The sequence below is a fragment of the Homo sapiens genome, chromosome 6 (assembly GCF_000001405.40).
Source record: "Homo sapiens chromosome 6, GRCh38.p14 Primary Assembly".
In the NCBI taxonomy this organism is placed as follows: Eukaryota; Metazoa; Chordata; class Mammalia; order Primates; family Hominidae; genus Homo; species Homo sapiens.
In genome coordinates, this window is record NC_000006.12 from 14,000,756 (window position 1) to 14,023,991 (window position 23,236).

The 23,236-nt window shown below is 45.8% G+C and overlaps 1 annotated feature.

Annotated features, from left to right (window-relative positions):
* Window positions 348–1,547: an enhancer, noted in NCBI's record as "P300/CBP strongly-dependent group 1 enhancer chr6:14001334-14002533 (GRCh37/hg19 assembly coordinates)". NCBI's record gives its function as "activates an origin of replication core promoter dependent on BRD2, BRD4, P300/CBP, MED14 and CDK7 cofactors, with strong dependence on P300/CBP, by STARR-seq in HCT116 cells {active_cell/tissue: HCT116}" and the evidence as "EXISTENCE:reporter gene assay evidence [ECO:0000049][PMID:35650434]".

Here is a 23,236-nt window from a genome sequence, read left to right on the forward strand (position 1 = left end):
CGATGTTACCTGGGCTTGGTGGCATGCTCCTGTAGTCCCAGCTATTCAGGAGGCTGAGATGGGAGAATCGCTTGAGCCCAGCAGTTCTGAGCAACATCGCAAGACCCTGTCTCAAAAAACAAAACAAAACTACAAAGAGTAAATTTGTTTCTGCTCATCCCAATATTTTGCTTTTGCTATGAATTTCTAAATCAGTTTGTCAAGTTTTATGAAGTCCATCTTAGAAGTTTGTCTCGTGCTCCACAGCAAGCACTTACCAGTGCCAGGATGTGAGCCTAGGATACTGATTCCCATGGGGAAAAGCAGCAGCATTGCCTCTGAGCTGCTGCTAGCAAGCCAGGAGAGCGTAATTGTCTTGTGTTCTCCCCAAGCTCCTTTAGTGCATTGGGTCTTACTTTTGTAACTTCTACAGCATGGGGCTGTCCAGAGGAAACAGCACTTGGTAAACATTTATTGGGTTTAACTAAATGTGAATGTGTGAGACAAGAAGTCTAGATGCACCCAGCAGAGAGGGTCTCAGAATATTAACAGCCCCGGGGGGTGGAAACACAGAATCTGCTTCCTCCAATGAAGTGGCCTGATCTCGTCACTAAATATTGGAAGGAGGCCACGTTACAGAGCAGAGACTGAATTTCTCATCCACATCCGGAGCCAGGCATTCTGGAAATGAGGTCTGTTTGCCACCTCTCCCCAAAGCATTGATCTCTGATCATGAGTCATTAGCCCCCAAGCACCTCCTCCCAGCTGGCTCATAAGAATTAATCAGCTTCATCACTGCAGTCATTCCCCTCGGGGAAAATGGTCAGCGTATACACAACAAATCCTTGTTGAATTGGACTGAAGGGAGTCTAGCTGTTAATCTCTCCTCAAATATGGCTGGTTGGAGAAAAAGGAATGTAACGGAACATATCAAAGGAGATGTCTCTCCTGGCCGCTTGACAACTCTGGTGGGATCTTCCCATGACCAGCGCTGCTGTATGACTCACGGCTCCACTTCTTTCCCTGCCCTTTTGTGGCAGGAAGGGAAGATGCTGTGCTTCTCACTCATGAATTGTGCTTCTTATGACTCAGTCGGCCAGCCTGTTAGCATTGATTTGTTCTTGGTGGACACCGTTGGGCAGAAGGCCCTGCTAACCACAGAAGCGAGGGTGAAGTGTGCGCTCACCACCATCAGCAAGGTCAAAACTCAGAGGCTGTTTATTTCCATCCAAGTGCCTCATACTTTTGCTGCCCCAGGTGAATGATGGTGCCTTGATTATGGGCCAAGAGGCAGATGCATGCATGCTTTTCCACACAGCACCCTTTTATTGAATGCAAAATAGAACTTTAAAGAAAAAAAATGGTGAAGTTTAACGTTAGTCGGTTTTACTAATAACTGTATTACAAAAGCTTGGTACTACATGAAGTGTAATAATTGGAGCTATTCAAGTAACGGAAGGTGTTGCCCCGAGAACAGTGAGGTCCCATCACTGGACGTGTTCCACGGAGACTGCTGAAGGTGAGAGGTGACAGCGGGCTGGCAGCCCTGGCTCGCTCTCGGCGCCTCCTCGCTTTGGTGCCCACTCTGGCCGCGCTTGAGGAGCCCTTCAGCCCACCGCTGCACTGTGGGAGCCCCTTTCCGGGCTAGCCAAGGCCGGAGCCGGCTCCCTCAGCTTGTGGTGAGATGTGGAGGGAGAGGCGCGGGCGGGAACCGGGGCTGCGCGCGGTGCTTGCAGGCCAGCGCAAGTTCTGGATGGGCGTCGGCTTGGCTAGGCCCCGCAGTCGGAGCGGCCGGCCAGCCCCGCTGGCCCCAGGCAGTGAGGAGCTTAGCACCTGGGCCAGCAGTTGCTGTGCTCGATTTCTCGCTGGGCCTTAGCTGCCTCCCCACGGGGCAGAACTCGGGAGCTGCAACCTGCCATGCCTGAGTCTCCCTCCCGCCCGCCCGCGGTGGGCTCCTGCGCGGCCCTAGCCTCTCAGACGTGTGCCGTCCCCGCTCCACGGCTCCCAGTCCCATCGACTGCCCAAGCGGTGAGGAGTGTGGGTGCACGGCCAGGACTGGCAGACAGCTCCACCTGCAGCCCCACTGGGGTAGCAACTGGGTGAAGCCAGCTGGGCTCCTGAGTCTGGTGGGGACTTGGAGAATCTTTATGTCTAGCTAAGGGATTGTAAATACACCAATCAGCACTCTGTATCTAGCTCAAGGTTTGTAAACACACCAATCAGCACTCTGTGTCTAGCTCAGGGTTTGTGAATGCACCAATGGACACTCTGTATCTAGCTAATCCAGTGGGGAGGTGGAGAACTTTTGTGTCTAGCTCAGGGATTGTAAATGCACCAATCAGCACCCTGTCAAAACGGACCAATCAGCTCTCTGTAAAGCAGACCAATTGGTTTTCTGTAAAATGGACCAATCAGCAGGATGTGGGGGGGGGGGGGCCAAATAAAAAAATAAAAGTAGGCTGCCCCATGCCACAGTGGTAACTCTTTTGGGTTCTCTTCTACCGTGTGACAGGTTTGTTTATTAATTGTTTTTGGTAAGTTTTGTTGCTGCTGGTTGTGGGGGGTACGTACTGCTTTTTTTGAGCTGTAGTATTTTTGGGAAAGGTCTTGTAGTTTCACTCTTGAAGTTAGTAAAACCACTGAACCTACTGGGAAGAAGGAACAACTTCAGACTCTTATACTTAAGAGCTGTAACTTTCATCTGGAAGGTCTGTAGCTCTACTCGTGAGCAAGCGGGACCACTGAACCCCCCCAACCACCAATTAACGAATGAAACTCCTGATATATCCGAACCTCAAAAGGAACGAACTTTGGATATACCACCTTTAAGAACTGTAATGCTCACCGTGAGGGTCCGTGGCTTCATTCTTGAAGTTAGTGAGACCAAGAACCCACCCATGCTGGACACAAAGGGAGCATGTATATATATATATATATATATATATATATATATATATATCCACGTTGGGAAAGAAATCTATGTTATGGAGGAAGTTAGACCAAATAGTGTCTAGGACCCCTTCTATATTTTCCTGAAGTTGCTGTGACGTAGCGGAAACCCAGGGCTTAAACAACAAAATTTATTTTTCTCTTTTTCTGGAGGCTCGAGGGCTGAAATCAATGTTTGGGCAGGGACAAGCTCCTTCTGATGCCCCAGGGAAGGCTCTGCTCCAGCCTCTTTCCAGCTTCTAGTTCTCTGGCTTGTGGCGGTGTTGTTCCAGCTTTTACGTGGCATTCTCCCTGTATGTATGTCTGCATCTAGATTTCTCCTTAAAAGGTCACAAGTCCTGTAGGATTAGTTTTCCTCTGGCGTGAGTTCATCTTGACTAATTACATGTCCAACAACTGTATCTTCGAATTAAGTTTCAGATAAGGCCACATCCTGAGGTAAGAGGGGCTAGGACTTGAACATACGAATTTGCAGGGGACACAATTTAACCCATAACACTTTCCAACTCTGCAATTTGATTGACCAGAATAAAGACATATACAAGTATAACTAAAATAAGGCACCCATTTACGCTATTCGTAGCCGTTTTTAGTTAACTGCGCATCTAAACTTGGCATTCACGTGTCTGGTCTTAAAGAGAACGTGTGTTTTTTTCTTATCCTGAATTCCTTTCAGAAGACCTTTCACTGTCCATATTCCATTAGCTCCATGGAGGACTTACTTCCTGCAGGCTCTGCTTGCCTCCCACAAGAGATTCTTTGCCTTGATTGCACTTAATAGAAGTATAATCTGGCCTTCAAATCACCCGTTCATTTGATTTTCCCAGTAATCCCTTTGCTCTCTGTGTCTGCATTTGCCAGCTGGGTCTAGAGCTGACTTTTTCCCATCTGAAGGGAGGATGCTTCCCCCGTTAACATTCGCTTTTCTTCCTTTGAACCGTGAGGGTGTGTGGATGATCCCTCAGGACTTAAACCCCGACAAACCTCAGCAACACCAGAACATCGCTTTCCAATCCCTCCTTAATCAGAACGTAATGAAACTTTGAAACAAAAGCTTTTCAAATTAGATGAATGATTCCATCACAGGAGATCAAAGGCAGGACAGCTAATTAGGACAAAATCTTGTCCACAGAGTTTCTCTGGTAATAATGGAAATATTCTTCTTATCATATTACAAGAAAAATAGGAAAATTCATATATCCGGTATAATTTCAACTGTGGGGACAAAACAGAAAAAGGGCTGTAGTGACTCCAGGGAACGTGTGAACAGTGGTTATCAGCGGATCACAGAATGCAGGTGATTTTAATTTTTTTCTTTTCTACTTGCCAGTATTTTTCAGATGTCTTTCAATTGCCTGTGTTTCTTTTATCCTTTCTCTTTCTTTTGTTGATGAAGGCACAAGGATAGAAGTTCCTGCTCCTCCAAGGTGTCATATAACCCGTCGGGCTCAGCCCTCCAATAATTGAAAACGTTCCCTCAATAACTGGTTGAATAGCTGTAGAACAAAGGTGGTTTGAGCTGTAGAGTTTCGTATAAGAAATAATGTAGAATGGCCATTTATCTCATTTTCTCATCCAATTTACACTTCCAATGCATGTCATATGCCATAGGTCATGATGAAGTTGTGTTCAGGAGCCCAAGGTTAGATGAAAAGAGGAGTTTAGGTGAGGGCCACAAAGCTGCTAGTGATGGAAGCCAGTTGCACAGGCTACAGTCTTCTAAATTGTTTCCATAAAAGAAACTTGTGAATTTTGGTACTGGAAACCAACAAACTGGGGGAACATGAGTGGAGGGAGATAGGAGGACTGAGCCTAGTTTCCTGACCAGCCCTCTTGCTTGATTTATGTAGAGCTGTGTGATAACTAAGGCCCAGATTGGAATACATTTTATTATTTCAAATTCCAGCATGAAAGCAAAAGTCAGTGCATTCCTTCAACCCATTGCAAATCTTCATAGCAACAGAAATAGGTGGGCCTCCCAGGTATGAATGATAAAGAGCCATTGAGGGCATTAAGACACTACCCAGCTGCCACGACTTTTCTCAGAAAAACCTTCTGTTCCTGCCCTCAGTGAGGAACTCCACAGTAAACTGTTCTGAACACAAGAAAAATGGAAATTCATCTCCTCAAGATTTTTATTTTATGACCTAAACAGAGAACCCCAGGCTACTTCCAAGAATGCGTCTAGATGGGTAGCCAAGAGCTTTCTAGTGATGAATTCTCAGAGTAGTGCTAAGAGAAACGCAGGTGTTTCTATTAATGATGATGGGCACATGGGCATGCTCCTTGTTCTACTTGAATGCATCCTTTACGCAGCATAAAAATAAGGACCACACACATCTGCTGCCCTAAATTTGAGGAAAGCATTTCCAGTAGAAAATTGGGTTTTTCTTTCTTTTTTTTTTTTTTTTTTGAGACAGAGTCTCATTCTGTCGCCCAGGCTGGAGCGCAGTGGCACAATCTTGGCTCACTGCAACCTCTGCCTCCCGGGTTCAAATGATTCTCCTGCCTCAGCCTCCTGAGTAGCTGGGACTACAGGCACGTGCCACAACGCCCAGCTAATTTTTGTATTTTTAGTAGAGACGGGGTTTCACCATGTTAGCCAGGATGGTCTGGATATCCTGATCTCGTGATCCACTCACCTTGGGCTCCCAAAGTGCTGGGATTACAGGCATGAGCCACCGCGCCCAGCCGGGTTCTTTTCTTGAATCACCCCAATGAGGACTTTTCTGTGGAACACAGAATGTCACAGAATTGACTTTTTTTGTCCCAAGTGAGGGGTGTATCCCACTTTGACTGCACAGTCATGGAGTTAAAGCCTAGAGTAGAGGAGGTAATTTGCACCTTAGCGTTGAGATTTTATTGAATAATACCATTTGCTTTTTTCACACAGGAAAATATCCATTTCTATCTTTAAACTGATCTGAAAATTTAGGACCAGAGTGGAAGTCAACACTGGCCCTGCGTGTAGTTTCAGAAAAGGCGCCTCCTGGACCTGCCGCACTTTGATACCCTCCTTTGCACACCCCATTTCATTTGTCCTGCTATCAACTTGACATCAGCATTTCCACACCCAAATATCCCTTATATGCTCTTCTGACAGTGAGGATGTTTGCTCCCTACTGAAACAGAGTTTAGAACTCACACCTTGTTAACAGGTTGTCAAAATTCGTTTTGCTAGTCTATTGTTTTTCTTCTAATACAAAAAGATTTGCTGATTTGTTCTTTCGGATTATTATACCACATTTCCTCTGTGTCTAAGCCGTGCTTGAAAGAACAGGTGCGGCAGTTACCTTGGGAAGGTCCTTCTAGCGAAATATCGAGTCTATCATTTTGTGAATTGCCGTCCCACCCCTCCGCATCCCTCCCCTTTCCCTTTCCTCCCCACCCCGTCCCCCCCATTTCATTCGCTTTCTTCCTCTCTTCCAAGTAATAACTGCTTATCAGAATTCATGGCTCTCTTAGGATGGAGGGAATTAATTTCTTTTCTCTCTCTCTCTCTTTTTTTTTTTCGAGACAAGGTCTTGCTCTGTTGCCCAGACTGGAGTGCAGTGGTGTGATCATAGCTCACTGCACCCTCAGCCTCCCAGGCTCAAGTGATCCTCCCACCTCAGGCTCCCAAGTAACTAGGACTACAAGCATATGCCACCACAACTAGCTAATTTTTAATTTTTTTGTAGAGATGGGGGTCTCCCTATGTTGCCCAGGCTGGTCTTGAACTCCTGGGCTCAAGTGGTCCTCCTGCCTCGGCCTCCTACAGTGCTGGGGTTACAGGTATGAGCTACTGTACTCAGCTTGAATTTCTATAGACGATTTATCCTTATCTTGTCCTGCACTCTCATTTGAATTTTCCCAATGTAAAAGTTTCATTTTGGCCGGGCAAGGTGGCTCATGCCTATAATCCCAGCACTTTGGGAGGCTGAGGCAGATTACCTGAGATCAGGAATTCGAGACCAGCCTGACCAATATAGTGAAACCCCGTCTCTACTAAAAATACAAAAATTAGCTGGGCATGGTGGCATGTGACTGTAGCCCCAGCTACTCAGGAGGCTGGGACAGGAGAATTGCTTGAACCTGGGAGGCGGATGTTGCAGTAAACCAAGATCCTGCCACTGCGCTCCAGCCTGGGCAACAAAGTGAGACTCGTCTTAAAAAAAAAAAAAAAAAAAAAAGTTCCATTTTGAGGACTCTCCCTCTTTCTGCATCCACTGCAGACATTTTTCAGAGCCTGTTGCTGGTAACTTTCTTCACAGAACACTGATGCTTTGTTGGTGGCTGGGAAGCCAGTGGAAGCTTTTTCAGGGTGGCTGCCTTGATCTTCTCATTGAAAACAGTATACTGCTGACTGTGATTCCTACTGTTATGGGAGAGAGATGAAGTTTTTTCTTTTTCTCTTTCTTTTATATTCTTTTAAAAAACCTGACAATTTTCTCCAACCCACCTGAGATCTAATTTTAACTTCATGATCCTTTATATGTTTTGACATTCTAGAAATCAAAATGTCAGCGAGATGATCTCCTGGCAGAGTTTGATCAGTTATTACACAGACTTTACCAAAATAGCGATTAGTCTTGCCTGTCTGTTTTCTGTGGAAGGGGGACTTAAAGGATGGGTTGAGCTTTAAGTCTCTACAGGGGGATAGCATGGCAGAGGAATTCAGTCTGAGATCTTATCCGGCTCTGTCACTTACTACTTCTGTGTTCAGAGGAAGCCATTGGCCTTCTCTATCTCAGTTTCCCTGCCTGTAAAATAATCATAAAGGTCCTTTTCTAATTGGATGTTTGCTCCATGCCCATTTTTTACTTAATAGCAAGCTCCTTCAGTCATCTCTCTGAGATAAAGTCAGATAAAGTTTAGGGAGTCAGAAAAGAAAATGAGGGGTGTTAAGTGTCTCAGCCTTGTGTTAGAGGCCTGATTTTCCATCATCACTCAAAAACATTTGTTAGGGACTGATTTGTGGTGGACCCTGGGCTGCTGTCCCCATTTCTCTGTGCAGCATGCCTTAGGGCTGTAGGAAGTCTTTTTTGGGTTTCTCTTTCACCATTTATAAATTGCACATTATATGTTATTATAAATTGCACATGTTATATGTTATGCATTGCATATGTTGTATGTTATAAATCGCACTGTTGTATGTTATAAATTGCACGTTATATGTTATAAATTGCACATGTTATATGTTATGCATTGCATATGTTGTATGTTATAAATCGCACATATATGTTATAAATTGCACCTGTATGTTATAAATTGCACATATTGTATGTTATAAATTATACATGTTATATGTTATACACATGTTATAAATTGCACGTTTTATGTTATTGCACAACTCTCTTATGAGTGCCCCTTTCACCGTTTATAAATTGCACATGTGACTTTCTACCTCCCTTGCCTCATGAATCTGTTATTAGGCTACCTGGGAGTGCTTTAAAATGCTCTGAGCTCATTCGAGAAAACAAATTTTCTGTTTTCCTATTTTACAAATTGTTGTGGGTCTGATAAGAACAAATGCATTCCCTTATGCCTCTGCACTCAATATGAATCTTACAACACTGGCATTAACAAGATCTTTGAAGTAGCCATCAGCCTCAATAGCATGCTAAAGACACTTCTGGTTTCATGGAATATACCGCATTGCAAGCTAGAGAAATAAATGCTGGAATCTATTTTTTGAGGAGAGAAAAATCTATCAGTAGCACCGAGAGATGTTCATGATGACATTACTCTTAAGATCATTGCCTCTCTACAACCTGCTAAGTGCTACGGAAGATAGCATGGGCTAATTTTGAGTGTGATGGCCTCAGCTCTTTTCCTGCATCTGCTGGCAGGGCTGTCGTCAGTCCTACTGGCTGCTTCTGGAAGACACAGCTTACCCCCAGCAACATGTCCAATCCTAACTCCTCCCATTGCTGTTCCCCTCTCAGGGCTTGTGTGAGTTTGTTGTCTGCACCCCACAAATGCCATCAGCTGCATTTCCAAAGCCCCTGCTGGGCCTTTCTGGGTTAAGCTCCTGCACACAATGGAAACATGCAGAGACTTCAGGAACAGAGAGTCCACTCAAATACAAGCTTTGCTGTTGCCCTCTCACAAAAAACATTGACCGTCTTTGAATGTCCTCTAGAAAATGGGGCTCTGCAGGGCAAGGTTTAGAGACTACCCTGAATTTAGGACAGAAAAAAGCATCTTATGAGAATAGGTTCTGGCTAGTACACTCTGCCCTCTTTACACCAAAGCCCTTCATTCCATTTTTATTTCTTGCTACCCACAACCAATTATTAATAGTTAAAAATCTCTCCTCATGTCCTTTCACAGTGTTTTACTATTTGCTAGTGTTTGACAACCTGCAGATGTCATCAGGAATTACCACATCTTCTATTACAGATCAACCTGGCTCTGAACAAGGGGCCAGGCATCACTGTACAATTACACTGAACTATTGTGACCGGTATGAGGAATCAGCATTTGTGTGTGTGTGCTTAAGACTGATGTATAGCACACAAAACACCTAAAGGGGCAGAAATACATGTCCATAGAAGTAATAAATAGGACACACAGGGTGTGTGTGTGTTGCACTTCTTTCTTCAGTGTTCTCAAGGAATAGCGATGACACTAAAAACTTATTGTGCGAAATATTTGAATTAATACTTATCTGTTAGTGTAAATGAACATTAACAGTTTCTTACCTGTATATAGAGTTTCACAGGTTACAAAACATCCCAACACCCCTGTCAACCAAATGAGTAGAGAATAACTGATTATGCAATGATTTTTAACAATGACCTGCCACTATTTACTCAGTCTTAGATACTCAACAAACATTCTAAGTCATTACCACTATTGAATCTCTGTCGCTCTATTCCAGAAGCTTGTTGGGCAGACTTTCAAAGTTTCCAGTTGTCTTATGATTGTAGAGCCTGCATTTCCAATAATGCTGGAATCAGTTTAGAATTAAGCCCTGGTTGGTGTGTGTCTTCTAATACAGGATGAGGAGAGCCATTTAGTCCCTGGCAGGACCTGCCCAAGTGTCAGATTTTCCACTTGCTCATTTGTTTGGGCCCTGAGTATGCTCCATGGTTGCCAGCTGGGGATGAGGTGCTCATCACTGGAGGTGTTCAAGGGTAGGTATGTAACACTTGTGTAGATGTTAAGGGGAAGTGTGAAAGGTTGTACTAGGAAACTGTGGTTGAGCTTGGCTCATTGCTGTTTTCTCTTCTTATTGGGCATCAACTAGATCACCCTTCCCAAACTCCCTTGCAGTTTTAAACTCTTATTTTGTGAAATCACTGAGCTTTCTGTATTTACTTGTTTTAGCAGCTAGCAGTTACCTCAGCTAATACAGTAACCTTTAGCATTCCATCCAATCAGAGTCTAGGGTCATAAATCTGTTCTTTCTTTCTTTTTTTAAGATGGGGTTTTTCTGTGTTACCCAGGCTGGGGTGCAGTGCTCACTGCAGCCTCGACCTCCCATGCTCAGCCTCTGAAGTAGCTACTTCAGCCTCTGAAGTAGCTGGGCCTATAGGCATGCACCACCATACCCAGCTTTTTTAAAAAAATATTTTGTAGAGACAGGGTCTCACTATGTTGCCCAGGCTGGTCTCCAACTCCTGGGCTCAAGTGATCCTCCCTCCTCAGCCTCCCAAACTATGGGAATTATAGGTGTGAGCCACTGTGCCTTAAGGTGATAAATCTTGACAGACAAGACTCAGTTATGATTTCTTTTGACTTTCTCCCCACTTATAGTTGATTCTTCTTATGTCTTCTCTCCTCTCTCCACAGGGTATCTATTTACCCATTTTTATAGGGTCTCAGATTCACTCATGGACAGGGAGGTGGCTAATGGTGGGTTTAGCCTATCCAATTACCCAGCTATATTAGTCAGAGAGTCAAAGTTCTTCAGAGAAACAGAACCAATAGGACACACACACACACACACACACACACACACACACACACACACACAGAGAGAGAGAGAGAGAGGAGATTTATCATGGGAATTGCCTCATGGGACCGTGGAAGCTAAGAAGTTCCATGATGTGCTATCTGCAAGCTGGAGAACCAGAAAAGCCAGTGGGGGTACTTCAGTCTCAGTCTGTAAGTCTGAGAACCAGGGAAGCTGGTGATGTAAGTCCTTGTATTTGTCTGTTTTCATGCTGCTGATAAAGACATACCTGAGACTTGGTAAATTATAAAAAAAAAAAAAAGAGGTTTAATGGACTCACAGTTCCACGTGGCTGGGGAGACCTCACAATCATGGCAGAAGGTGAAAGACGTGTTTAACATGGCAGCAGGCAAGAGAGAGAATGAGAGCAAAGTGAAAGCAGAAACCTCTTATAAAACCATGAGATCTCATGAGATTTATTCACTACCATGAGAATGGTATGGGGGAAACCACCCCCCATGATTCAGTTATCTCCCACTGGGTCCCTCCCACAACATGTGGCAATTATGGGAGCTACAATTCAAGATGAGATTTGGGTGGGGACACAGCCAAAGCATATCAGTCCTGGTCCAAGTCCAAAGAGCTGAGAAACAGGAGTGGTGTGGGAGCCTGCTAGTGTAAGTCTCAGATAGACTCTGAAGGCCTGAGAACCAGGAGTGCCAGTGTCGGAGGACAGGAGAAGATGGATGTCCCAGCTCAAAAGGAGAAAGTGAGTTAGCCTCTCCTCTGTCTTTTTGTTCTATGCAGGCCATCAAAGGATTGGATAATGCCCTTCCACACTGAGGAGGGTGATCTTCTTTACTCAATCTGCTGATTCAAATGCTAGTCTCTGCTGGAAACCCTCACAGTCATACCCAGAAAGAATGTTTGACCAGCTATCTGGGCATCCCTTAGCCCAATCAAGTTGACACATTAAATTAGCCATTGGACCAGTTTGAAAGCACGCATTATTTACCGGTCATGCATTCAGCCTGCTGTGGTTTGCTGCATGAGTCCAGGGGGTAGGCTGGGTACACAGGACAAATCCCAACCTGGGAACAAGGGTGACATAGCCTTAGGACATGGTGATTACAGATGGAGTTTGACAGAGCAGACTCCAGGGCCCAAATTGGAGACTGGGCAGGGATGGTGGAATCATTGGAACATGGTGCCTGCTGGAAGAGTTGCCTGCAAGAGGTGCCAAGCCCTGATTTCCCAACAACACCACTAAGCTGAGTTCCACTTCCCTACACTGCTGTAGGGAAGTACTTCATCTACTGCTGTAGAAGCCAAGCAAGCAAGTGCTAAATGGCTCTTGCATTCCTTCTGTTGTTTCCAAGGGGGTCCCTAATACACTGCACAATCGTTAAGTAATTAATAGAAGCAGAGAGTTCAGAACGACGGAGAAGGAATTTAATGAAATTTGTTTTTAAGGGTAACGAATTATTGATAATCCAAAGGTGTTGGCTCTAGTTAGCATAAACCTCTTCCTGGGAAATTAGGTGTTCTTTTTAGAGTAAATTTGAATTGGGCTATCTCTCAAAGGGAAAATCATTCTAAGAGTGCATCTTCCCAAAAATTCTGGTTTTGCTTTTAAACCTTTGAAAAATTATTATTGTTATCATCCTCTTCCTCATCTTCATCATTGGATCTAGAATCTGAATAAAGGTCAGAATTCTGGTTCAAGAGATTAAAGCTTTTAACCAATATATTGGCCATTTTTGTTAATGTATATAATGGAGTATGATGAATGGGTCTGCTCTGCCTCCCATCAGAAGGCAGGTGGTGGTGGTGGTGGCAGTGTGTGTGTGTGTGTGTGTGTGTGTGTGTAGGTGTGTGTGTGAGAGAGAGGTTTCATCAGACTTTTAAGATAAAACCATTTTTATCACATTATATTTGTCAATTACTCTTGACCCAACCAATTCACAATCGTATTCTAATAAACAAATATGAATAATACTGAAGTGCTTTATTTAAATGGAAATTTTGCATAATTTGAATGTATTTATTTACCTATAGCCTTTTAATAAAGTACTTCTTATGTAGAATTAGATTACTTTAATAAGCATTGAAGGTGAGGCAATTATTCAGCCCTGACATATAGTACTTGAGGGTTTTTTCTCTTCTTTTACTCAACTCTTTGATATTGCATAAGCTATTCACAAATATCAGTTGCTGTTGACATCCACACCAACAAATAAATTTAGCACAATACACCAGAGGCTAGAAAGTAAAGCTTTAATTAACCTTTAGAGGATTTTCTAAGATCAGAGGTTTAAAAAAATTAGAGGTGGGAAGGTCCCTTACAAAGGTAATACATGCATTTTCTCCTGACTTTTTGATGTACCCACAGAGCAAGGGGGGACCTCTGATGTACCTGCATAAGGCAGATTATCCATTTAAAAATGTATTCATGGAATGTCAGTTCCAAGAAAAAAATATACTCATATATTTTATTTTATTTATTTATTTAGATGGAGTCTTGCTCTTGTCGCCCAGGCTAGAGTACAGTGGCGCCATCTCAGCTCACTGCAACATCTGCCTCCCGGGTTCAAGTGATTCTCCTGCTTCAGCCTCCCAGGTAGCTGGGATTACAGGTGGCCACCACCACACCCAGCTAATTTTTGTATTTTTAGTAGAGATGGGGTTTCACCATGTTGGCCAGGCTGGTCTTGAACTCCTGACCTCAGGTGATCCGCCTGCCTTGGCCTCCCAAAGTGCTGGGATTACAGGCATGAGCCACCATGCCCAGCCTACTCATACACTTTAAATGGCCCAATACATACCTGCCCTGCTGAAACCAGTGAGGAACATCAATAAATGTGACACAATGATTAGTTTAAAATTTAAAAGCCCTAGTTCCAGCAAAGTTATGAGAAGGTGTGATTTCCTCCCTCTTTCTTTTTGAATTCTTCTCTTCACTCAAGGAATTCTCCTGCCCTGCGTTAGGAGCCAGATGCTGTCCTGCTGCTTCTTCATTTCCCAGAATGTGAGGGGCCCTGTTCATGTTGGCAGCCCCTCCCAACCTCACATGCCCCACACCGGGATCTAAGCTCACCCACTGGGACTCCCAGCCTTCTCTCTCCACTTTCCAACACGATGAGAATTTCCAAGTTCCAGATGTAGTACCAAATGCATTCCATTTAATCCCAAGACCATCCTTTGCAGCAGGTGTTAGTATCCCTACTGTGTATGTACAGAAACTGAGATGAGAAAGGCCAATGACTTAGCCAAGGAATGCACGCATGGGAGAGGCCAATCCTCTCCTTTCCTCTTTTCTTAAGGGAGGTTTCCTGGAAATATCTACTTCTTTGGTTTGCTTGTTTGTTCCCAGAATCCTTTGTTATTTAGACCTAGCCTGTTACCAATCCCTGTCCATTCTTCCTTTGGACTGTCTGGTCCCACAGACAGTCAACCTCACTTCTGCATTTTTTCCTCCACCTATTTGCCACTATCTTAGTCCATTTTGTGCTGCTATAATAAACCATCACAGACTGGCTAATTTATAAAGAACAGAAATTTATGTACCCACAGTTCTCAAGGATGGGATAAATCCAAGATCAAGGTGTTGATATCTGGTGGGGACCATTTTGCTGTGTCCTCACATAGTGGAAGGTGGAAGGGTAAGAGGTGACGAATGTTGTGTCCTCACATGGTAGAAGAGTGAGAGAGTGAGCCCACTCCTCCAAGCTCTTTTTATAGCAGCATTGATCCAGTCATGAGGGTGGAGCCCTCGCAACCTCCATTGGGCCCCACCTCCTGACACTGTTGCATTGGGGATTAAGTTTCCAACACATAAACTTTGGGGAACACATTCAGACCATGTCAGCCACTCACTCCAGTCCATTCCCCAAGCTCCTCCCAGGCTCATCATTCTCAAACGCATCACTGTGCTGGCTCTCAGGCTCGGAGTCAGCAGGATCAGAAACATCTCCTGAGAGCCAGTGACGGATGGACGGGTGGCTGGGACGCTGGATGAAGAAGATCTCCATGACTGTGGTTCTTGCTCTTCCTCCATTCCTCTGCTCTCTCTCCTCCTCTCCTTTTCTCATCCCTCCCACTCTTCTTCATTTTCCTGAGATTATTAGATAGACCAGGAACAAAACAGCTCTGGCACCTGTTGCTCTCCTAGTCCAGCACCTCCACTCCAGCCTTTAGCACACACATCCACACCTCCACTTGCCTGGCCCCTTTACCACATCATCTGGATTTCTCTACCTGGCCGTGTCATTCAGGGTCCAATCAGGGAACAGAAACCACACAGTAATTTGAATGTGGGATGTTTAATATAAAGATTACTTAACTGTAACAGTGAAGTGATAAGAAGATGTAAAGAAAACTCTGAAGGTGACCCTGAGGCTGATGGAGAGCATCTGGGGAAGGACAAGTTTAAAGAAGACCCCTCTTCAAGGCTGAGATCCGGAATCCGGACTGCATCAGAGGTGTGGTTGTAGCCCACTGAGTGGCAGAAAGGTTCCCTGGGTTGCCCATGGTTACTGGACAAGGAGAAATCAACAGTCTTGGGTAGAGGCTAAGGCTGGTGCAAGAGTGCATGGAGGGCTGCAGGCGTCAGGGGCCTGCTCTCCAGCAGGGTAGTGAAGACTGGGGCATGCCAGGCCTGCATTAGGAACATCGTGGTGAGGTGGTCACCATGGGTGGCCAAGAGGTGGGGCTGGGCCATGAGCCTGAAGACTGCACACTCGGCACATGGCTGGGGCAGTGATAAGAGCCATACAGCTGGAGGCAGGAGAAGACAGTAGCAAGCCAGACCCAGGAGGAGAAGCCCCTTCCTCCTGCATAGACTCAGAGCACGCTACTGACAAAGCTGAATATTGTGTTTGGTGCAAAGGAGAAACGCCCGAACTCTTGTCACAGAGCAGATTTGGGGCCGAGAGGCAAGGGATCAACGGATTGCTAGCTGGACACCAGCCTTTCCCTGCGTCCCCAGTCCGGCTCACCCCACTTCCCGGATTCTGTTTTTCAGCACTCGCCCTCTGGCCTGTCAGTCTGGCTGCTTCGGCCGGCTCCCTCCAGGCTCTGCTCATTCTATTAAGGAATTCTATTCACTTCCATTAAAGAAAGCATTCTTCCTTCTGTCTTCTTGATCAAACACTACCCATTCTGCAGGCCCAGCGCAGGGCCCAGGCAGGTATCTGTGAACCGCCTCCTATTCAGTCTTCTGTTGCAGTTCAGCCAGCTCTGTGACAGTGAATTCTTGTCACTTCTTGAGTGTCTCCTTAATTAGATTGTAGCTTCCTTGAGAACAAGGACTGTGTCTCTTTCCCTCTGTTTTCCTATATGCCTGGAATAATGCCTTAGTCGATATTATAATGTGATTGATTGATGGCGTGTGAATTTCAGGGTTAGGGGAGCTAGTTGGGAAATGTTTAGAGATATCTGGAAAGAAATTCAGTGGCTACTCCTTTCTCCACGTATACCCTAGACCCCAGTGCTCACTGGAGACTGAGAGCCTCCCTGACACAGAGGACTGTTTATATCCTTTCTGGTGCTATGAAATAGTGTGATTGCAACAGCACTGATTAATAGTGTGGAGTTCCCCTCCTGTAACTCTGTGTACTGGTGAAGGAGATGTAAAAATGTTAGGAGCAAACGAAAATGATTTTGACTGCTCTGACCTGAGTCTGGTTGGGGGAAAAATATCTTCCTCCCTCATCACTTTTAAAAAGCAGAGTTCCTTTCATAATAGAGACTTATTTCTTGTGATGAAATACTAGAGATCATAAGGAAGTAGAGAAAGAAAATGACCCGAGTGCTTTATAAGGGACAGTTTATTGGATCAATGCCTCTTTGTCTTATTAATCTGTGTTTTCCCAAATAGCCTGTGATTCTTGAATCACTGTGATCTCAGTCTCAATAGCCAGAAGTAGTATATATTAAAAGCTTTGGCCTGGGCAACGAGTCACTTGTTTAACAAACAAGACTCCTCTACTCTTTTTGCTGGCATTTCTGGACAATCTTTTATAAGTTATCAATTTCCTTTTTTTTTAAATCTGAGATCTTCCCTGACTACCTCCTACCATTAGACTGAGCTGATGTTCCTCTTTTGTATTTCCATAGCATTAAAGGGCAGCGGGGAGAGTATGTATCTTGTATTGTAATTGCTAGTTAATTCTTTGTCATTCTGGAATGTCTTTTTTAACTATGTATCCTCAGGACATAAACCAGCGCCTTACACATAGTCAAGGCTCAATAAACATTGTTTGAATGAATGGATGGTTGTGAGAAGTGACAGCATGCTGGCAGCCCTGGCAGCCCTCACAGCTCTCGCTCGCTCTCGGCGCCTCCTTGGCCTTGGCGCCCACTCTGGCCGTGCTTGAGGAGCCCTTCAGCCCACCGCTCCACTGTGGGAGCCCTTTTCTGGGCTGGCCAAGGCCAGAGCCGGCTCCGTCAGCTTGCAGGGAGGTGTGGAGGGAGAGGCGCGGGCGGGAACCGGGGCTGCGCGCGGCCCTTGCAGGCCAGCACGAGTTCCGGGTGGGGGTGGGCTCGGCGGGCCCCGCACTCGGAGCGGCCGGCCGGCCCGCAAGCCCCGGGAAGTGAGGGGCTTAGCACCTGGACCAGCAGCTGCTGTGCTCAATTTCTCGCTGGGCCTTAGCTGCCTCCCCGCGGGGCACAGCTCCGGACCTGCAGCACCCCCATGCCTGAGCCTCCCCCCACCCCCCGCCGTGGGCTCCTGCGTGGCCTGAGCCTCCCTGATGAGCGCCGCCCCCTGCTTCACAGCGGCCAGTGCCATTGACGGCCCAAGGGCTGAGGAGCGCGTGCGCAGAGCTCGGGACTAACAGGCAGCTCCACCTGCGGCCCCAGTGCGAGATCCACAGAGTGAAACCAGCTGGGCTCCTGAGTCTGGTGGGGACTTGGAAAATCTTTATGTCTAGCTAAGGGATTGTAAATACACCAATCGACACTCTGTATCTAGCTCAAGGTTTGTAAACACACCAACCAGCACTCTATGTCTAGCTCAGGATTTGTGAATGCACCAGTCCACACTCTGTTACCCAGCTAATCTAGCGGGGAGGTGGAGAACTTTTGTGTCTAGCTCAGGGATTGTAAACGCACCAATCAGCACCCTGTCAAAACGGACCAATCAGCTCTCTGTAAAACAGACCAATGGGCTCTCTGTAAAATGGGCCAATCAGCAGGATGTGGGTGGGGCCAGATAGGAGAATAAAAGCAGGCTGCCAGAGCAAGCAGTGGCAATCTGCTTTACGTGTTGTTTCGTGTTGTGGAAGCTTTAGTTCTTTTGCTGTGCAATAAGTTTTGCTGGTGTTCACGTTTTAGGTCTATACTACCTTTATTGAGCTGTAGCACTGGGAAAGTTTGAAGCTTCATTGTTAACACCAGCAAGATCATGAACCCATAGAAAAAGAAAAAACTCTGAACACATGCGAACGTTAGTAAAAACTAAATGCTGAGCACGCTGCCTCTAAAAACTAATACTTACTGAGGATCTGGTTTTATTCTTGAAGTCGGTGAGATCAAGGACCTACTAATTCTACACGCAGTTGGATGGTAAAATAGTTATGGCTCTGGGGCTTCTATGATAAAGTAACAGAGTGGGTAGCTTGTAAACATTTTTCGTGGTTCCGGAGGGTTAGGAGTCCAGGGTCAAAGTGCTAGCAGGTTTGGCATCTAAGGAAGGCTACCTCCGTGGTCCATAGATGATAACCTCCACCATACATACCATTGTGGGGGAAAAGGCAAGGAACTCTCTGGAACCCCTTTTATAGGGGCATGAATCCCATTCCTGAGGGCTCCAATGTCATGACCTAATCACCTCCCAAAGGGCCTTCTAATGCTCTAATGCCATTACTGTGAGCGTTGGGATTTCAACATACGAATTTGGGGAGGAATAAACATTCAGTCCATTACACCAATTTAACTGGTTTTAAGCATGAGAGAAAATATATGGGCTCATGTGAAAATTGGGACATTCTAAGGGTAGTTCTAGCTTCAGGCATGACTATGCAGGGATTCAAATTCTATCATGGGGGCTTGATCTTTCAGTGTGTCTTGGTTCTTCTGTCACCTAGATTTGTGTCATTCTCATGAAAGTTCTCTCCATATGGACTAATAATAAAGCCACAGAAGGTCCTATGCCAGGGTTTCCCATTGTGAATGCTAACGACATGTGGAGTGGATACTTTTTGTTATGTGGGACTGTCCCATACATTGCAGGATATATAGCATCCCTGGCTTCCGGGTATCAAATGCTAGCAGCACCTTCATACATTGGGACTAAATACGTCCCCCACATTTCCAAATGCCCCTTAGGGAGGCAGTATGGCCTCTAATTGAGAGCCACAACTCTAGGCTGACTTTATACCCACGGTTGTGATCCCAGAGAAGATGGCCTGATTCTCTATCACCTAGTGTCTATATCAGTTCCTGAAAAGGATTCTGATGAGCTCTGCTGGGCTTATGTTTCCACCCCTGAGCCAGTCACAGTCTTTAATGTGTAAAGGGCTTTGCCAGAGTGTGATTGGTCAATGTATAGTTATTGCTCCTGAGCAAATTACTCCAAAACTTAGCAACTTCAAATATGTATAACCTAAACCAATTTCTCTGGTCAGGAATCTGTGAGCAGCTTAGTTGGGTGATTCTGGCTCAGGGCCTCTTATGAGGCTGCAGTCAAGCTGTTGGCCAGGGCTTCTTCTCAAGGCTCAATGGGGGCTGGAGGATCTCGTCCACACTCACCGACATGGCTGCTTTCAGGCCTCAGTTCCTCACTGGCTGTAGGGCACCTTGCCATGTGGCCTCTTCACAGGCTGTCTGAGTGTCCTCTTCAAATGGCAGCTGGCATTTTCCAGAATGGCATATCCAAGAGGGAAAGAGAAGAGACAAGGAGAACCCATTGTAGAGCTGCAGTCTTGTAAAACCTAACCTTGAAAATGACATACCATCCTTTCTGCCATTATTGGTCACTTTAGAGCAGCTGTGGTCAATTGTAGGCAGGGGCTCCATGAGCGTGTGAATGCGAGGAGGCAGGACCCCTGTGGGGCACACTCAGAAGCTGCCTCCCTTAGACAACAAGGATGCAGTCTGTGCTCACTGCTGGACATAGAGGGTAAAGTCCCAGGAACAACAGCTCCAGGAAATCACAGAGGGTGGAGAGGGGCATTTCCCAAAAAAAAGGTCATGCAGTGCAAACCAAAAGTGTATGTCTGCCACAAATGAATACTGCAATCCACTTCCTCACCAGCTGACTCAAGGAGGGCTGCATAGGGTAAGTTCTAATAAAAATAGTGCTGTGAATTATTTCTGTCTATCTGTAGATCATCATTTGTCTCTTAAGGATCTTTTTCTACTGCCAACTGACATTCCTACTCAGCGCTTATTTGTGCAAAAAGCTTTCACAAGCAATTCAACTGCAGGCTTATAGATAGGTTTTGGAAATCTTGGGAGTAGATCAATATTTGAGTGTTTGTCTCATATAAATTTATTCTGACAGCTGCTTACTTCCTTTCCAAAATTCTCCTTTCTTTGGTGCTCTTTTAATTTTTTGAATGTATAGCAGGGAGAGAGCATCACTGTGTCCTAGTATGTTTTCACTGGAAAGAAGCAGAGGCAGCGTGCAGGACTGCAGGAGCAGCTGAGCTTACCACCAGATAAGACATGGCTGCTCAGAAGGAGGTATGTTGCTTGGTTCTGTGCATTCGGAGAGCTTTTCTGTAGTTGGTTTTCCCAGAGTCTGTGTTTTCTTATTTGGGATGAATGGCATACAGAGGCAAGGTGACTTTTTATGGCTTTGGTCTTTGGTGGAAGTACAGCCAGCTACTGAGCCATCCTGACACTCCACTGCCCCCAGGAAGGAGAAGCCACTGTTTGTCTTCCCACCCACCCTGCCGAACAAAGCCTGCCAAGCACTGTGTAACCAATGCCCAAGACATTTGATGAAAGGTTTGGCGTCATTGGAGCCTTCTCTCAAAGCTTTTGGAAAGTCATACAGGAGACAGATTACAAAGAAGTTTTGCTAGGGTTTAATCACACAAATGAGGAAACCAGGTTTCATTACTCCTTCGACCAACGAAAACAAAAATGCTAAGTGTGAGACCTTGTGTTAGTTAACCTTCCCCTCCCCTTCCCTCCCTTCCCTCCCCTCCCTCCCTTCTTCCCTCCCCTCCCCCTCCCTCCCTCCCTCCTTCCTTCCTTCCTTCCTTCCTCTCTCACTCTGTCACCCAGGCTGGAGTACAGTGGCACAATCACAGCTCACTGCAGCCTCCACCTCCTGGGCTTCAGTGATCCTCCTATCTTAGCCCCCTAAGTAGCAGGGACCACAGGCACACACCATCACACCCAGCTAATCTTTTGTATTTTTTTTTTTTTTTAAGATGGGGTTTCGCTATGTTGCCCAGGCTGGTCTTGAACTCCTAAGCTCAAGCAATCTGCCCATCTCGGCCTCCTAAACTGCTGGGATTACAGGCATAAGCCACCATACCCAGCCGTTAAGTCTGATTTCTTACATAAATCCTTTGTGTCAAATTGGGCACCCCATTAACAGTGAGTATTTTGTGCAATGTGGGAGAAGGTGTTTCTCCCTCTTGGGGCAGCCCAGCAGGTCACCAAGCTGAGACCAAGCTTTGCCAGTCTCTGGGTAGAGGTTCCCGGGAATGGAGTGTGTGGTGCAGTGTAGCAAAGGCATGTAGGTCTATGCACTGGACATTGCAACTGGTTTTCAAAAATGATTAGACATTTGAAAATGCCATCCTCTTATACTTACTTTGTCCCTGACATTTCTCACCCCTTTAACCTTCCAGGTAGCTGAATACAGAATAATAGAGTAGGTGAAGAAACACACCATCATTAGTAAATATGCTTGCCTTTCCTCCTGCTCGTTCCAATACAGACCAAAAAGGAGGGAAAGGAAGAGGCCATGAAGATTAATTTTGTTGTCTTAGCTGCTATTCATGAGGCCTGATGTTTCTGTTTTATATTTGTAATAATCCAGAATATTGGGGCAAAAGCTTATCCATGGCTGGATGGATCTATAGGATGTGGGATCATTCCTGAGAGTTCTGGGAGAGGTGGGGTTTGGGTTCGGATATCTCTGGAATTGTGGGTAGGATATGGTTTGTGTCCATGCTTTCCCCCAATACTTAGGCTCCAGCTTGTGATATTCCTCCCCTTGGTCCCTCACCCTGAAGTGAGCAACTGGCGGGGCTTCAAAAAGTCAGAGCCTCAAGCCTTGGTCTCAGACAGGCCTGACTTCAAATTCTACTAGCTGTGTGAGCTTGGATAGGTTACTTAACCTCTCTGGACTTCTGTTTTCTTATCTGAAGAATGGAGATAATCATTGATATGGTTTGACTCTGTGTTCCCACCCAAATCTCATCTCGAATTGGAATCCCCACGTTTGGAGGGAGGGACCTGGTGGGAGGTGATTGGGTCATGGGGGCAGTTTCGCCTGTGCTGTTCTTGTGATAGTGAGGGAATTCTCACGAAATCTGATGGTTTAAAAGTGGCAGCTTCCCCTATGCTGTCTCTCTCCTGCTGCCATGTAAGATGTGCCTTGCTTCCCCTTCACCTTCTGCTACGATTTTAAGTTTCCTGAGGCCTCCCCAGCCATGTGGCACTGTAAGTCAATTAAACCTCTTCTCTTTAAAAATCACCTAGTCTCTGGTAGTATCTGTATAGCAGTGTGAGAATGGACTGGAGCGAGGATTGAATCGGGTAGTGCAGTGAATGGCAGACCTTGCGGAGGGTCCGCTTCTCTTGTTCTAGCACCCAGGATGGGCCGTCCTCAGGGTGTGGCCCCAGGAGCTCCTGGCTTCAGAATGGCAGAGCCAGTGTGGCCTTACTGCTCACAAGGTAGGCATCCCTCTTTGGTTCTTTTTTTTTTTTTGAAGACGGAGTCTTGCTCTGTCACCCAGGCTGGAGTACAGTGGCATGATCTCGGCTCACTGTAACCTCTACCTCCCAGGTTCAAACAATTCTCCTGCCTCAGCCTCCTGAGTAGCTGAGATTGCGGGCACCTGCCACCATGCTCAGCTAATTTTTGTAGTTTTAGTAGAGATGGGGTTTCACCATGTTGGCCAGGCTGGCCTCCAATTCTTGACCTCAGGTGATCCACCCACCTCGGCCTCCCAAAGTGCTGGGATTACAGGCATGAGCCACCGTGCCCGGCACCTCCTTGGCTCTTAAGGGTCAAAATACAGTGTTGTTGTTGCTGTTGTTTTTTCATCAGTCTTCATTATTTTAGTTTCGATGGAGGGAGGCTGTAATGTCCCAAATGCTTTATCTTGGGCAGTGGGATCAGCATAGCCCTTGGAATCACCTGCCACCTACAGTGTTGCTGGAAGAAGCAGCACCCCGCCACATGCTCTTTTTTTGAGGTTTTGCCTCAGTAAATCCTTACGAGGCTCAGGCAGACAA